Genomic DNA, 18,404 nt, shown 5'->3' on the forward strand with positions numbered 1-18,404 from the left:
GGTGCGATTTCACCTCACTGCAATCTCTGCCTCCCGGGTTCAAGTGATTCTCTTGCCTCAGCCTCCTGAGTAGCTGGGATTACAGGCACGTGCCGGCACGCCCGGCTGAATTTTTTTTTTTTTTTTTTTTTTTTTTTTTGTATTTTTAGTAGAGACGGGGTTTCACCATGTTGACCAGGCTGGTCTTGAACTCAGGCCTCAAGCGATCCACCCAACTCGGCCTCCTAGCGTGCTGGGATTACAGGCGTGAGTCACTGTGCCCGGCCTTGCTAATTTAAATCTAAATATTGAAAAGGAAGAGGGGAAGATATATGAGCCATAAGTAATGGTAAAATACACAAGATTAACTCTGGAAGGTGTGCACTTATGTTTCAGAGAGTGTCTTATACAATTTAGTAAAGGGTAACTTCATGACTAAAAAAATTGCAGAACAAAATGTGGAACATGTTTAGGAGTTGGAAGGAATGCATAATATGTTCATTTTGGGGCAATCTGAATTTCAGGTTTTGGACATCTGGATAGACAAAGCCAGTCTACTGAATGTATAAATGTGCAATTCAATGTTTGAAGATCAGATATAGATTTGGATATTTTGGTCATACAGACAATAAATAAGGCAGTATTCATGGTTCAGATAGTTTAAAGAAAATGTGCAGAATTTATATATAGTGTGAAATAGGGGTTCAGTTTCATAACCAATTTTCCCAGTACCATTTCCTAAAAACGAGGTCCGTTTCCCAAAGTATGTTCTTATCATCTTTGTCAAAGGTCACTTAACTGGAAATATGTGGCTCCATTTCTGGATTCTCTGTTTTGTTCCATTTTTCTATGTGTTTATTTTTATATCAGTATCATTATGTTTGGGTTACTAGAGCCTTGTAATATAATCTGAAGTCAGGCAATGTGATGCCTCCAGCTTTGTTCTTTTTCCTCAGAACTGTCTTGGCTATTTGGGCTAATTTTTTTATTCCATATAAATTCTAGGACTTTTTTTTCTAATTCTGTGAAAAATGATCTTGGCATTTTGATAGGGATTGTATTGAATCTATAGATTGCTTCCAATTCATGAGTATAAAATATTTTTCCATTTGTTTGTGTCATTTTCAATTTCTCTCACAGGTATTTTGTAGTTTTCCTTGCAGAGGTCTTTTACTGCCTTGGTTAAATTTATTCCTAGGCATTTTGTTTTGTTTTGTAGCTATCGTAAAAGGGATCACCTTCTTGATTTCCCTCTCATATATCATCATTGGTGTTTAGAAACACTACTGAATTTTGTAATTTGATTTTGTACCCTGAAACATAACTGAATTTATTTATCAAATCTGTCAATTTTATATAATTTCAACTATTATTTTAGATTCACGAGGTACATGTGCAGGTTAGTTGCATGAGTATTTTGTGTGACAGTGAAGTTTGAATATGATTGGTTGCATCACCCAGGTAGTGAACAGAGTAGCCAATAGGTAGTTTCTCGGCTTTTCCTCCTTCCCTCTTCCCACTCTCTAGTAGTCCCCAGTGTTTATCTTTCCCATCTTGATATCAAGTGTACCCAATGTTTAGTTCCCACTTATAAATGACAACATACTGCATTTATTTTTTGTTCCTGCATTAATTTGCTTAGGATAATTGCCTCCAGTTGCACACATATGGCTGCAAATGACATGATTTCACTTTTTTATGCCTGCATAGTATTCCATTGTGTATACGTACCATATTTTCTTTATCCAATCCATTACTGATGGACACCTAGGTTGCTTCCATGTCTTTGCTATTGTGAATAGTGCTGCAATGAACATATGCGTGATTGTGTCTTTTTGGGTATTCCTTTGGGTATTGGTTGAATCTTTAGGTTTTTCTAGATATAAGATCAAATCCTCAGCAAACAGGGATAATTTATGCTTATTTTCCAATTTAAATGTCATTTATTTCTTTCTCTTGCCTGATTGTTCTATGTAGGACTTCCTGCAACTCAATACAGATGAAAGACTTAAACAGATTGGGCACAGTGGCTCACACCTATAATCCTGGCACTGGTATGTCAAGATAGGAGGACCGCTTGAGCCCAGGAATTTGAGACCAGCCTAGGAAACACAGAAAGACCCCATCTCTATAGCACATTTTAAAAATTAGCTGGGCATGGTTATCTTCCCAACTACTTGGGAGGTTGAGGTGGGAGGATCATGAGTCCAGAAGGATGAGGCTTCAGTGAGCCATAATTATGTACTGGATACAAGCCTGAGGGACAGAGCAAGACAGACCCTATCTCAACAACAACGAAAAAGACTTAAGCATAAGAACTGAAACTTTAGAAGTACTGGAAGAAAACCTAGGGAAAACTCTTCTGGACATTGGCCTAGGTGACAAATTTATGACTAAGACTGCATAAGCAGCAACAACACGAAGTAGACAAGTGGGACTTAGTTAAACTAAAATGCTTCTGCGCAACAAAATAAGCAACTAACAGAGTGAAGAGACAACCTGTTGAATGGGAGAAAATATTTGCAAACTATTTCTTCAACAGGGGATTAATATCCACAATATAGAAGTAACACAAATGACTGAACACCAACAACAGCAAAACCAAATAATCCCATTAAAAATGGGCAAAGGATAAGAATAGATATTTTTTAAAAGAAGATACACAAATGGCCAACACATAAATGTGAAAATGCTCAACGTCACTAATCATCCAAGAAATGCAAGTCAAAACCACAATGAGATAACATCTTACCCCAATCAGAAGGGCTGTTATTAAAAAGGCAAAAACCAGATAGTGGTGAAAATGTGGAGAAAAGGGAACTCTTATACACTGTTGATGGGAGTGTAAATTAGTGCAGTCTCTATGAAAACAGTATTGATATTTATCAAAGAACTAAAAATAGAACTGCAATTCGATCTAGCACTCCCACCACTTTTCCCAAAGGAAAAGATGTCAATATATCAAAAACATACCTCACTCCTGTGTTTATCACAGCACTATTCACAATAGAATATATATGGAATAAATAAAAATATCCATCAGTGTTTAAATAGATAAAGAAAATACGCTATATATACACAATGGGATACTATTCAGCAATGGAAAAAATAAAATCATGTCTTTCACAGCAACATGGATGCAGCTGGAGGCCATTATCCTAAGTGAAACAAGCCAGGAACAGAAAGACAAATATTACATAATCTCACTCATAAGTGAGTGTAAACAGTGTATTCATATGTATGTAGAAAACGAAATTATAGATATTGTAGACTTAGAAGGGTGAAGGGGTAAAAGTGGGGAGATTGAAGACAAATTAGTTAATGGGTACAATGCACATTATCCAGGTGACAGATACTCTAGAAGCCCTGATTTGACCACTAGGGAATCTATGAATGTAACAAAATTGCACATATACCCCCATATATGTATACAAATGGAAAGGAGATAAAGAAAATGTACAGAATTCAAAAATAAAGATAGCTCAATAATACCAGGATAAGTCAACATGCAATAGGAATTACATGTCACCTATGAAGCAAGCCTGCCAAAAAAACATGAACCTGAACTGGATCATGAGGAACCACTCTCACATATCCCAGTTGTGAATCATTAGACAAGATGATGACCTGAATGCTTCAAAAATAAAATCAATGTAAAACAATACATAAACAAGGAAAAGTAAAAATAAATAAAATGATGCAGGAGATTTCTTTGTTTAAAAAAAAAAGAATAAAGACATAAATCACCTAGTTGCAATGTGAATCTTGATAGGATATTGAGTAATAGAAACAGCTAGCTATAAAACTTTTTGAAGGCAAATGTGGAAATTAGAATATAAACAATATTTTATGATATAGAATTGTTAAACTTCCTGAAAGGAATATTGATATTGTTGTTATGTAAGATGTTAAGGAATGAATGGTGTTCCCCGTATGACAAAAGCTCAATGTCACCGATCATTAAAGTAATGCAAATCAAAACCATAATGATACATAATTTCACACCAGTCAGAATGGCTATTATTAAAAAGTCAAAAAATAACAGATTCTGGCGAGGTTGTGGAGAAAAAAGGAATGCTTATCCACTGTTGGTGGGAGTGTAAATTAGTTCAACCATTGTGGAAGAGAGTGTGGAGATTCCTCAAAGACCTAAAAACAAAAATACCATTGGACTCAGCAATCCCATTACTGGGTATATACCAAAAGGAATATAAATGATGCTATTATAAAGACACATACACATGTATGTTCATTACAGCCCTATTCACAATAGCTAAGACATGGAATCAACCTAAATGCCCATCAGTGGTAGACTGGATAAAGAACAGGTGCTATATATAGGACATGGAATACTACACAACCATAAAAAAATGAGATCATGTCCTTTGCAGGAACATGAATGGAGTTGGAGGCCATTATCCTTAGCAACCTCTAATGCAGGGATACAAAACCAAATACCATATGTTCTCACTTATAAGTAGGAGCTAAATGACGAAAACATGGGCCACATAGAGGGGAACAACACACACTGGGGCATATCTGAGGGCATAGGGTGGGACGGGGGAGAGGATCAAGAGAGATAACTAAATGGGTACTAGACTTAATACCTGAGTGATGATATAATTTGTGCAGCAAACTTCCATGACACAGTTTGCCTATATGACAAGCCTGCACATGTACCCCTGAACTTAAAATAAAAGTTAAGTAGTAAATAAATAAATAAATAAAATAGAAAATAAAAAGGAGGAAACTTATTTTTTCACTGGATTTGGAGACAAGATCTTCAAGGAGATAACTATGGATAAGTTAGATCAGAAGATTGAGACCCTAATCCACTAGAACTGTTGTCCTCACGAGAGGCTGGTCAATGATTACGAAGTAGAGCTCAATGAGAGGAATAAGTTTTTGTGTTCTATTGCTCTACAGGGTGACTATAGTCAACCATAATATATTGTCTATCCAGAAATATCTAGAAGAGAGCATTTTTAATGTCTTTACTACAAAGAAATGACAAGTGTTTGAGGTGATGGATATGCCAATTATCCTGATTTGATTATTACACAATCTATATATGTATCGAAACATCACAATTTACCCCAGAAATAGGTACAATGATTACGTGTTAATTAAAAACAAAATTAATTTAAAAAAGAAAGAAGATACAACAATGATATACACACACACCACACACGTCACACACACTCAAACACACAGGAAGAGCCTTGTGAGGACATAGCCAGAAGATGCCTATCTATGAGACAAGGAAACAGACCTCAGGGAAAACCAAACCTGCTTACATCTTGAGTTGGATTTCCAGCCATGACAACTGTGAGAAATAAATTTCTGTTGTGTAAGCACACAGTCTGTAGTATTTTGTTATGGCGGTAGAATACTAGTGTATGGGAGAATGTTTCTTATTTAAGAGTTATGCTGAAATATTTAGAGAGGAAGTTTTATAACATCTGCCACTTGCTGTAGAGAGGCAGAGAGAGAGAGAGAGAGAGAGAGAGATGTGAATTTAAGTTTGTAGGTATTAGCTGCACTATTTTTTCAACATTTTGGACATTTTTATGAATAAAGAATTAAGGAAAACTAAAGGGAGGTGAACATTTCCAGTCTATTTTTTAAGTGAATTGGATCAAAAATAGGATTTGGAGAGGCAGTGATAATTAAACAAAATAAAGAGGAAAGCAAGTAGCAAAACAGACTGAAGATAGCCTAAGAGGAAGAAGTGGACTTAAAGTAGAGATCTGTAAACCAAATCTGAATAGAAAGAGTCACAGAGAGACACATTAATTTAAGGACTGAAGAGTGATGGTTAGTAATTGTAATGAGAGCAGTATCTGAGATGGATTGGGTCAAAGGTTCAATGATGTGGGCTTAAGAGAGAAGGCAGAATAAGAAAGTAAAAAGTAAGCATGATTAACTTTTTTTGTTTGTTTGTTTTGTTTCAAAGACTGATTGGGAGGGAAGGCTTTGACACAGTATGTTGAGGGAGTAGATAAAGTTTTGTTTTCTTAGATTAGAAAAAAAGCATTTTGTATGCTTCAAGAAAATAATTAATGTAGAACAATGGATGGAAATACAGAAGAAAGTAGAGCAAGTTCCTGTTTTTTTTGGAGTGAGACTAAACAGAACATTACAATAATAATAAACAGCCCATACTATTATTTCCTTCATTCAGAAGATAAAACTGAAGCTAAATGTAAAATATTTATATTGACATAACATACTAACAAATAGCACTAGCTCTGTTTGATTCCAAAGTCCATTCATTTTTTTCCCTCTATGTCATTCTACAAATGTATATTCTGTACCTCAGTTAAAACCAGTAACCTCTACATAATAATAAGTAAAATAATTTTGAGGATGCAACCACTGCAAGGATTTCTAGGAAATCATGAATGACCACTATTATTCTCCATCAAAGGGTAAACACTTTTCTCCATACTCCCTAATGTGAAAGTTTTCAATGTAATAGCTAAATGCTAATGAAAATGCAGTAATGTTAATGCACACGGGCAAACACTAAGAATAAACTAGTGAATAGATTTAACTGTTTGTAAGCAAACAATTTACTATATGCTGATAATCATTTAGGATTGTGCAAAAGTACATTTATTTAGGAAATTTCCATCTCTATTCATATATTTGCAACTGTCCTTTGCTCATTTGAGTCTTGTAATTTTAAGGTACTAAGATGCAAAACATTTTTTGTTTTGTAAAAACAAAATAAAGCTCAATGCATTATTTAGGAAATATTCAACAAACAGAAATATCGGGACCTAGCATAGACAATATGGTGCCTATAAATATTATTAAAACATTATCTTTCTCATTCTGGGCCTTGTGTTCTTGTGGGTTTGTTATAATTATATTATGAAGTTGTTTTGATGTTCAAAGAGCTCGAGAGATTAAGGTCGACTGGAGTAAAAATACATATACTTATGAGGGCAAGGCAGATAATATGGAAAAATAAATTTGACTCAAGAAGCAATATGAAATGGTTCAGAAAAATATTAAAATGATCAATCATATTACTTACTGAATATGCCTTAGTATTACTGCTGTCAATTGATTGATGCAGTATGATAACTAAGAACTTCTGTTGCCCAGTGCTTGATATTTCAGGTTTAGTGTGGCATCTAGGTTTTTATGTAAAATTTCTGAATTATTAAATCTTGACAAAAAATTCAAACTAAAAAAAATACATATTTTATATTTGCTAGAAATACATTGCTACTATTTCTTGGCTTATCCATGTGTGTTATCAGTTGTCTATCATTAAAGCTATCAGTAAATAGATGACTACTATGACACTCACCCAAACATGGATATAGCAATAACATCAAACCTATACCAGGATGTTACATTAAAATAGACCAAGTTAAGATTCTGAGAAATCAGTCATTACAGGTTAAAGTGTATCCTTTAAAAAGATATGTTGAAGTCTTAACCCCCAGTACTTACAGGTAAATACGATTTTTGGAGATGTAAATAAGTTAAGATGATTTCTTTAGAGTAGGCTCTAATCCATCATGAGTGGTGTCGGAAGAGAAGAGGGATACAGGTGGAGAAACGGAGACAAAACATTATGCAACAATGAAAGAAGAAAGTTTCAGAAATGTCTCTAACAAGCCAAGGAATGGCAAGGATTGCTAGCAAAGTAGGCAATATCAGAAGCAAAGAGAAAGGTACATATTAGAATGTTCCCTATTGTCTTTAGAGAGAGCATGGCCTTGCTGACACTTTAAATTTGAACTTCTAGCCTCCAGAGCTAGAAAAATCAACCAATGTAATATTTATGAACAGAAGAATGAATTCACACACTGTGGCATGTTTATATTATATAATACTACTTAGCAAGTATAAAGTACACGCAGCATGGCTGAATCTCAAAATAATTATACTGAGTGAAATAAGTCAGAAGATCCCTTCCAGAAAAAAAACCTACAAGGGTACAATTTATATAAAATTTTCAGAAGTCAATAGAATGCATAGTGAGAGAAATCTGACCAGTGTTTTCCTGGATCAGAAAGAAGGAATACATATACATTTTCTGAGATGAGAGATATATTCCTTATCTTGATTTTTGCAATGGCCTTCATAGATGAGTACATATGTCAATAATTATCAAGTTATAAACTTTATGTGTAGCTTATATACATCAGTGATATTTCAATAAACCTGTTCTTAAAAAACAAAAAAAGTGTATATTTGCCGTATCAAAACTAGGAAGATAAGAATATATATATTTTGATACATGTAAAACCAATTAAATGAATTCCACTGTCTTACAAGAAAGCCATTCTAGAAAACATTGGCTTTTGGCGTATTATCATACTTTGAGAACATCTTTTTTATACTTTATAGAAAAAATATTTGGATATAATCAATGTAAATTATTTCAAATGATGGGTGAAAATTTAATATACTACTTTGCATTGTGATGGCCTGAGAGAACTGTAAAAAATGCAATAGCATTCCAAAACCTCTGACCATGAATCATTTTGCCTTGACATGCTTGTTACCCTTTCCACAAAGACCATATCAAGGCCCTTAAATGTTACCATATCTAAGAAAACTAGATTTGCCAATAAGTAGTAGACAAGAGGGATCCTGAAGAAAAGAAAAGCTAAAGATTTTTTTTTTATTATTTTCACCACATTTCTGAGGAGAAATGATATTGGGACCTGAGATTATATATCCACTTGATATGATTCGGCTTTGTGTCTCTGCCCAAATCTCATGGCAAATTGGAGGAGGTGCCTAATGGGAGGTGATTGGATCATGAGGGTGGATCTCCCCCATGTTGTTCTTGTGATAGTGAGTGAGTTCTCATGAGATCTGATGCCTTAAAAGCGTGTGGCACTTCCCCCATCATGCTCTCTCTCTCTCCTGCCACCATATGAAGAAGGTCATTGCTTTCCCTTCATCTTCTACCATGACTGTAAGTTTTCTGAGGCCTCCTTATCATGCTTCCTGTTAAGCCTGCTCAACTGTGAGTCAGGTAAACCTCTTTTCTTCTTAAATTACCTAATCTCAGGTACTTCTTTATAGCAATGTGAAAACTGACTAATACGCCACTTAACAGTTGTATCACACAAGCAATGCTTTATGGCATTTTCCATGAATAATAATCAATTATTTTTTGTGTTCTGAGTACATTAAGAATCATTAAGGGGGAGGTGGAGCAAGGTGGCCAAATAGAAGCCTTCACTGATTAACCTCCCTGGAGGAATAGCAAATTGAATAGCTTTCCACACAAAAAATCACCTTAATAAGAATCAAACTTCAGGTGAGTGATCAAAGTACCTGGTTTTAACTTCTTATCACTGAAACAGGCTCTGAATGGGATAGGAAAGACAGTCTTGAATTGCTCCTATCTTCTGGCAGTGGCTGCATGGTGTAGAGAGAGAATATTTGCTTTTGGGGGAGGGAGAGTGCAGTGATTTGGGGACTTTGCATCAGAACTCATGGTTGCTCTATCACAGTGAGTGGCAACACTGGGCAGAATTCTGCTGGGTCCCATGGAGGGAGCATTTAGACCAGCCCTAGCCAGAGGGAAATTACCCACCCCAGCAGACATAATGTGACTTCCAGCAAGCCTCACTACCATGCGATAAATTGCTCTGAGGTTCTAAATAATCTTGAAAGGTAGTCTAGGCCAAAAGAACTGCAATTCATGGGGCAAATCCTGCTGCTTTGCTGGGCTTGGAGCCAGTGAACATGGGGGACAAGTGACCTAGTGAGACACCAGCTGGGGTGACCAAGTGAGTACTTGTGCCACTCCTCTGCTAATCCCAGGGAGCGCAGCTCACAGCTCCAGGAGAGACTCCTCCCTTCAACTGAGGAGAGGAGAGGGAAGAGTAAAAATAACTTTGTCTTGCAACTTTGATACCAGCTCAGCCATAGTTGGATAGGGAACTGGGCAGAGTCCTGAGGCCCCCATTCCAGGCTCTCACTCCTTGATGTTATTTCTAGACCCACAATGGGCCAGAAGGGAACCCACTGTCTTGAAGGCAAAGAACAAATTCTGGCAGGATTCATCCCCAGCTGAATAAAGAACCCTTGAGCCCTGAATAGTCAGAATCAACAGCCAAGAATTACTCATTGTGGGCCTTGGATGAGACTCAGGTGTGACTCAGCACATTCCTAGCAGTGGTGGCTACAGGATAAACTTGAGAAAAGGAGAGGAAAGAGTAAAGGGAACTTTGTCCTGCAGCTTAGGTATCAGCTTGACCACAAGGTATAGAGCACTAAGCAGGCTGTTAGGGTCCTGGATTCTAGGCCTTGGCTCTTGGACAGCATTTCTGCACTGGCACTAGGCCAGAGGGGAGCCCATTGCCCTGAACGGAGAGTCCCAGGCCTGGGAGTATTCACCAGAAGCTGACTGAAGAGCTCTTGGGCCTTCAGTAAGCATGACCAGTAGCCAGGCAGTACTGGCCACAGGCCTGTGGTGGTAGTGACTGTGGGGAGAAACTCCTCTGCTTGTGGAAAGGGGAGGAAGGAGTAGGAAGGACTTTGTCTTGTGGCATGCATGCCAGCTCAGCTGCAGTAGAATAGAGCACCAGGTACATTCCTAAGGTTTCCAACGTCAGGCCCTGGCTTCAGGACGACATCTCTGGACCAGAACTCACTGCCCTAAAGAGAAGGACAAAAGCGAGGCTGTCTTTGCCACCTGCTGTTTTTAGAGCCCTAGGTCCTTGAGTGAACACAGGCGGTAGCCAGGAGGTGGTTACTGCAGGCCTTCGGTGAGAACCAGAACTGTGCTGTCTTCAAGATTCATCCAGTGCAGTCCCAGTGGTGATGGCCATGGGGTTGTTTGTGTCAACCCTCCCCCAACTCAAGGCAACTCAGCACAGAGAGAGAGACTCTGCTTGTTTTGGAAAAAGGAAGGAAAGGAAAAAGAGTCTCCAACCAGTAATCCAGAGAATTCCTCAAGATCTTTTCTAAAACCACCCAGGCAGCACCTCTATGGAATCTTCAAGAGCCACACCATTACTGGGCTTTGGGTGCCTCCAGTGCAGATTGGCTGAAGTGACCAGAAACTTAGATTACAACACCCAAGTCCCTTTGAATACCTGGAAAGCCTTTCTAAGAAGAATGAGTACAGCAAGCCCAGAATATGAAGACTATAATAAATACCTAAGTTTTCACTGCACAGAAGCTGACAAACATCCACAAGCACTAAGACCACCCAGGAAAACATGACCTCACTAATAAATAAGGCACAAGGGACCGATCCTGAAGAGAGAGAGTTATGTGACCTTTCAGACAGAGAATTCAAAATAGCCATTTTGAGGAAACTCAATGAAATTCAAGATAACACAGAGAAAGAATTCAGAATTGTATGAGATAAATTTAACAAAGAGATTTAAATGATTAAAAAAGTCAAGCAGAAATTCTGGAGTTGAAAATGCAGTTGACATACTGAAGAATGTGTCAGTCTCTTAGCAGCAGAACTGATCATGCAGAAGAAAGAATAAGTGAGCTTGAAGACAGGTTATTTGAAACTACACAGTCGGAGGAGAAAAATGCAAAAAGAATAACAATAATGAAGCCTACCTGCCACATCTAGAAAATAGCCTAAAAAAGGAAAATCTAATAGTTATTGGCCTTAAAGTAGATAGATAATGAGAGCCTGGGTAGAAAGTTTATTCAAAGGTCTAATAACTTCTCAAATCAAGAAAAATATACAACATTTAAGTACAAGAAAGTTATAGAACACCAAGCAGATGTAACAGAAATAAACTATGTCAAGATATTTAGTAATCAAACTCCCAAAGAGCATGGATAAAGAAAGGATCCTAAAAGCAGCAAGAGAAAAGAAACAAATAACATAGGATGGATCTCCAACACACTTAGCAGCAGACCGTTTGGTGCAAATCTTACAGGGCAGAAGAGAATGGCATGACAGATTTAAAGCGCTGAAGGAAAAAAAAAATCCCAGAATAGGATATGCAGCAAAAATATCCTTCAAACATAAAAAATAAATACAATCTTTCCCAGACAAAAAAAAGCTGAGAAATTTCTACAATATAAGACCTATCCTACAAAAAATGCTAAAGGGAGTTCTTCAGTCTGAAAGAAAAAAAGATGTTAATGAGCAATAAAATATAATTGAAGGTTAACTTGTGATAGCAAGTACATAGAGGAACATCGAATATGATAATATTGTAATTGTGGTGTGTAAACTATTTATAACTTCAGTATAAAAAATAAAAGATGACCTGATTAAAAATAATAACTACAATACAAAGAACGAACAGTTAAAAAGTAGGGTGATAAAGTAACAAGTACAGAGTTTTTATTTATTTTCTTTTTGCCTATTTGACAGTCTGATTGCTTATGCAATCAGTTAAGTTGTATTATTTTAAAATAGTGGGTTATAAGATATTGTTTGAAAGCCTCTTGGTAACCTCAAATCAGAAACCTACAACAGAGACACAAAAAATAACATGTAAGAAATTAAAATACATGACCAGAGAAACTAAAAAATGAAAAGATATTTCATGTACCTAGATTGGAAGCCAAGAAAGGAGGAAAAAAAGAAGACCACAAAACAACCAGAAAACAAATAACAAAATAGCAGGAGTAAGTCCTTCCTTATCAATAATTACATTGAATGTAAATGGGCTAAACTATCCAATCAAAAGATACAGAGTGGCAGAATGGATAAGAAATGAGACTCAAAGATCTGCTACCTACAAAAAAACCACACATTACAAAGACACACATAGACTGAAAATAAAGCAATTAAAAAAGAAATTCCATGCAAATAGAAATAAAAAAGAGCATAAGTAGCTATATTTATATAAGACAAAATAGACTTAAAGACAAAAACTATAAAAAGAGAAAATGAAGCATATTATGTAATGATCAGAAAGTCAATTCAGCAACATGATGTAATAATTATAAATATACACTCACCCCACACTGGAGTACACAGATATATAAAGCAAATACTATAAGAGGCTGGGCACCGTGGCTCATGCCTGTAATTCCAGCACTCTGGGAGGCCGAGGCAGGTGGATCACCTGAGGACAGGGGTTTGAGACCAGCCTAGCCAGCATGGTGAAACCCTGTCTCTATTAAAACTACAAAAATTAGCTGGGCATGGTGGTGGTCACCTGTAATCCCAGCTACTTGGGAGGCTGAGGCAGGAGAACCGCTTGAACCTGGGAGGTGGAGGTTGCAGTGAGCCGAGATCATGCCATTGCACTCCTTCCTGGGTGACAAAAGAGAAGCTCTGTCTCAAAAAAAAAAAAAAAAAAAAAAAAAAAAAGCAAAAACTGTAAGAGCGAGATAGGCTTAAATTCAATAACAGCTGCAGAGTTCAATCCTTCACTTTCAGGATTGGACAGATCATCCAGACAGAAAATCATCAAAGAAACATAGATTTAGTCTGCACTATAGACTAAGTGGACCTAATATATCTTTTTACAGAGCATTTAATCCAACCACTTCAGAATACACATTGTTCTCCTCAGCATACAGATAACTCTCAAGTATAGTCCACGTTAGCACACAAAACAAGTCTTAAAAAATTCAAAAACATTGAAATTACATCAAAGTTATTATCTGACTAAAATGGAATCAAACTAGAAATAAAAAGCAAAAGGAATTTTGGAAACTACTCATACCTCAAACAATTTACAGATTCAATGCAATCTCTATCAAAATATGTATGACATTTCTTTTCTTTTTAATATTGAAAGAAGAAAAAAACTTTATTTATTTATTTATTTTATTTATTTTTTTTCTGGATTCTTTTTTTTATTATACTTTAAGTTTTAGGGTACATGTGCACAATGTGCAGGTCTGTTACATATGTACACATGTGCCATTTTGGTGTGCTGCACCCATTAACTCATCATTTAACATTAGGTTTATCTCCTAATGCTATCCCTCCCCACTCCTCCCACCCAACAAAAGGCCTGGTGTGTGATGTTCCCCTTCCTGTGACCATGCGTCCTCATTGTTCAATTCCCACCTATGAGTGAGAACATGCGGTGTTTGCTTTTTGCCCTTGCGATAGTTTGCTGAGAATGATGGTTTCCAGCTTCATCCATGTCCCTACAAAGGACATGAACTCATCATTTTTTATGGCTGCATAGTATTCCATGGTGTATATGTGCCACATTTTCTTAATCTAGTCTATCACTGTTGGACATTTGGGTTGGTTCCAAGTCTTTGCTATTGTGAATAGTGCCACAATAAACATATGTGTGCATGTGTTTTTATAGCAGCATGATTTATAATCCTTTGGGTATATACCCAGTAATGGGATGGCTGGGTCAAATGGTATTTCTAGTTCTAGATCCCTGAGGAATCGCCACACTGACGTCCACAAGGGTTGAACTAGTTTACAGTCCCACCAACAGTGTAAAAGTGTTCCTATTTCTCCACATCCTCTCCAGCACCTGTTGTTTCCTGACTTTTAAATGATCGCCATTCAAACTGGTGTGAGATGGTATCTCATTGTGGTTTTGATTTGCATTTCTCTGATGGCCAGTGATGATGAGCATTTTTTCATGTGTTTTTGGCTGCATAAATGTCTTCTTTTGAGAAGTGTCTGTTCCTATCCTTTTCCCACTTTTTGATGGGGTTGTTTGTTTTTTTCTTGTAAATCTGTTTGAGTTCTTTGTGGATTCTGGATATTAGCCCTTTGTCAGATGAGTAGGTTGCAAAAATTTTCTCCCATTCTGTAGGTTGCCTGTTCACTCTGATGGTAGTTTCTTTTGCTGTGCAGAAGCTCTTTAGTTTAATTAGATCCCATTTGTCAATTCTGGCTTTTGTTGCCATTGCTTTTGGTGTTTTAGACATGAAGTCCTTGCCCATGCCTATGTCCTGAATGGTATTGCCTAGGTTTTCTTCTAGGGATTTTATGGTTTTAGGTCTAACATTTAAGTCTTTAATCCATCTTGAATTAATTTTTGTGTAAGGTGTAAGGAAGGGATCCAGTTTCAGCTTTCTACATATGGCTAGCCAGTTTTCCCAGCACCATTTATTAAATAGGGAATCCTTTCCCTATTTCTTGTTTTTGTCAGGCTTGTCAAAGATCAGATGGTTGTAGATATGTGGCATTATTTCTGAGGGCTCTGTTCTTTTCCATTGGTCTATATCTCTGTTTTGGTACCAGTACCGTGCTGTTTTGGTTACTGTAGCCTTGTAGTATAGTTTGAAGTCAGGTAGTGTGATGCCTCCAGCTTTGTTCTTTTAGCTTAGGATTGACTTGGCGATGCGGGCTCTCTTTTGGTTCCATATGAACTTTAAAATAGTTTTTTTCCAATTCTGTGAAGAAAGTCATTGGTAGGTAGTTTGATGGGGATGGCATTGAATCTATAAATTACCTTGGGCATTATGGCCATTTTCACGATATTGATTCTTCCTACCCATGAGCATGGAATGTTCTTCCATTTGTTTGTATCCTCTTTTATTTCATTGAGCAGTGGTCTGTAGTTCTCCTTGAACAGATCCTTTGCATCCCTTGTAAGTTGGATTCCTAGGTCTTTTCTTCTCTTTGAAGCAATTATAAATGGGAGTTCACTCATGATTTGGCTCTCTGTTTGTCTGTTATTGGTGTATAAGAATACTTGTGATTTTTGCACATTGATTTTGTATCCTGAGACTTTGCTGAAGTTGCTTATCAGCTTAAGGAGATTTTGGGCTGAGACGATGGGGTTTTCTAGATATACAATCATGTCATCTGCAAACAGAGACAATTTGACTTCCTCTTTTCCTAATTGAATACCCTTTATTTCTTTCTCCTGCCTGACTGCCCTGGCCAGAACTTCCAACACTATGTTGAATAGGAGTGGTGAAAGAGGGCATCCCTGTCTCGTGCCAGTTTTCAAAGGGAATGCTTCCAGTTTTTGCCCATTCAGTATGATATTGGCTGTGGGTTTGTCATAAATAGCTCTTATTATTTTGAGATACGTAACATCAATACCTAATTTCTTGAGAGTTTTTAGCATGAAGGGCTGTTTAATTTTGTCAAAGGCCTTTTCTGCATCTACTGAGATAATCATATGGTTTTTCTCGTTGGTTCTGTTTATATGCTGGATTACATTTATTGATTTGCATATGTTGAACCAGCCTTGCATCCCAGGGATGAAGCCCACTTGATCATGGTGGATAAGCTTTTTGATGTGCTGCTGGATTCGATTTGCCAGTATTTTATTGAGGATATTTTTGCATCGATGTTCATCAGGGATATTGGTCTAAAATTCTCTTTTTTTGCTGTGTCTCTGCCAGGCTTTGGTATCAGGATGATGCTGGCCTCATCAAATGAGTTAGGGAGGATTCCCTCTTTGTCTATTGATAGAAATAAAAACAATCCTAAAGTTTATATGAAACACAAAAGACCAAAATAGCCAAACTTATTCTGAGCAAAAAGAATAAAATAAACTGACTTCAAATTATACCACAAAGCCATAGTAACAAAAAGAACATGATACTGGCATAAAAACAGACACACAGACCAATGCATCAAAATAGAGAGACCAAAAACAAATCCGTACATCTACAGTGAACTTATTTTCAACAAATATGCCCAGAACATACACTGGGTAAGGGACAATCTCTTCAATAGATAGTGCCAGGAATACTAAACATCCATATGCAGAAAAGTCAAACTAGACCCCTGCTTCTTGTCTTATCAAAATAAATTAAATACTTACACTAAGACCTGAAACTATAAAATTACTAGAAAAAAAATAACTTTTGTAAACTCTCCAGGACATGGGACTGGGTAGATTTATTGAGTAACACTTCACAAGCCTAGGCAACCAAAGCAAAAATGGGCAAATGGGATCACATCAAGTTAAAAAGTTTATGCACAGCAAAGAAAACAACAAGTGGAGGGAATCCACAGAATGGGGGAAAATATTTGCAAAATATCCATCTGACAAGTGGCTAATTACCAGAGTATATAAGGAGTGTGAACAAATCTATAGGAAAAACATCTTAGAATCTGATTAATCAATGGGCAAAAAATCTGAATAGACACATCTCAAAAGAAGACACACAAATGGAAAACGGGTATATGAAAAGATGTTCATGATCACGGATCATCAGAGAAATGGAAAAAAAAAACTGCAATTAAATATCATTTGACCCTGTTTAAATGGCTTTTATCCAAAAGACAGGCAATAATAAATGCTGGTTAAGTACGTAGAGAAAAGGGAACCCTTGTACACGGTTGGTGGGAAAGTAAATTGTCACAACCACTATGGAAAACAGTTTGGAATTTCCTCAAACAACTGAAAATAGAGCTACCATATGATCCAGCAAATCCACTACTAGGTATATACCCAAAATAAAGGAAATTAGTATGGCAAAGATATATCAGCACTCCCATGTTTACTGCAGTAGAATTCACAATTTCCAAGATTTGGAAGCAAATTAAATTTCCATTGACATAAATCAAGAAAATGTGGTACATATACACAGTGGGGCACTATTTAGCCATAAAAGGAATGAGATCCTATCATTGACAATAGCATGGATGGAACTAGAGATCATTATGTTAAGTAAAATAAGCCAAGCACGGAAAGACAGACCTCACATGTTTTCACTCACTTTGGGAGCTAAATAAATATTAAAACAATTGAACTCCTGGAGATGGAGAGTAGAATGATAGTTACCAGGGGCTGGGGATGGTAGCGGGGAGTGGGCCAGGGAGAAGAGGAGATGGTTAATGAGTACAAAAATATAGTTAGAGAGAATGAATTAGATCCAGTATTTGATAACACAACAGGGTGACTACAGTTGTACATTTTTAAACAACTAAAAGGATATAATTGGATTGTTTGTCACATAAAGAAAGGATACAAACTTGAGGTAATAGGTATCACATTTAACCTGATGTGGTGCATGCCTGCATCAAAATATCTCGTGTAACCCATAAATATACGCACTTACTATGTACTCATAAAAATAAAAATTATAAAAATGTTTTAAAAGTCATTAAAATTTTAATTTGGGCTTATACAGTTTTTCTAACAAACAGAAAACATGCTGATTAATCTACATGCCTACCATAATCCACTTGTGAGTTATTTTTTCCCACCGTTATTGGAACGATTGACATTTGACTTAAGCATTATTCTTCTTGTGAGTTTATGTCAGTCAATTCACTAAAATCAATAAACTTCTGCAGAAAAAACTGCATTTAATCCTGCACCTAAAACACTTAGTACGACACCATGAACAAGCTTGACCTCATCCACTAACCAATTTCTCTGAGATCCTGCTAATTTAGCAAGGGAATTCTTTTTTTAAAACTAATATTTTAAACCATCACTTTATGGATTCAATCATCAGAGACAAATTATTATAGAATATTTTATAGAGCAAATATAAGTATTAGAAATCAAGTTGTATTTGGGACCAATGTATTTAGGATCTGTTTCATAGCC

The 18,404-nt window shown here is 36.6% G+C and overlaps 1 protein-coding gene across 9 annotated transcripts in view, besides 1 other annotated feature; it reads right to left on the minus strand.

Annotated features, from left to right (window-relative positions):
- Positions 1-18,404, minus strand: part of CDH18 (cadherin 18) — a 1,104,418-nt gene that overhangs the window by 795,166 nt on the left and 290,848 nt on the right. The gene's annotated exons all lie outside the window — the stretch shown is intronic.
- Positions 9,404-10,603: an enhancer, noted in NCBI's record as "MED14-independent group 3 enhancer chr5:20275974-20277173 (GRCh37/hg19 assembly coordinates)". NCBI's record gives its function as "activates an origin of replication core promoter dependent on BRD2, BRD4, P300/CBP and CDK7 cofactors, and independent of MED14, by STARR-seq in HCT116 cells {active_cell/tissue: HCT116}" and the evidence as "EXISTENCE:reporter gene assay evidence [ECO:0000049][PMID:35650434]".

Source organism: Homo sapiens, chromosome 5 (assembly GCF_000001405.40).
Source record: "Homo sapiens chromosome 5, GRCh38.p14 Primary Assembly".
Classification (NCBI taxonomy): domain Eukaryota; kingdom Metazoa; phylum Chordata; class Mammalia; order Primates; family Hominidae; genus Homo; species Homo sapiens.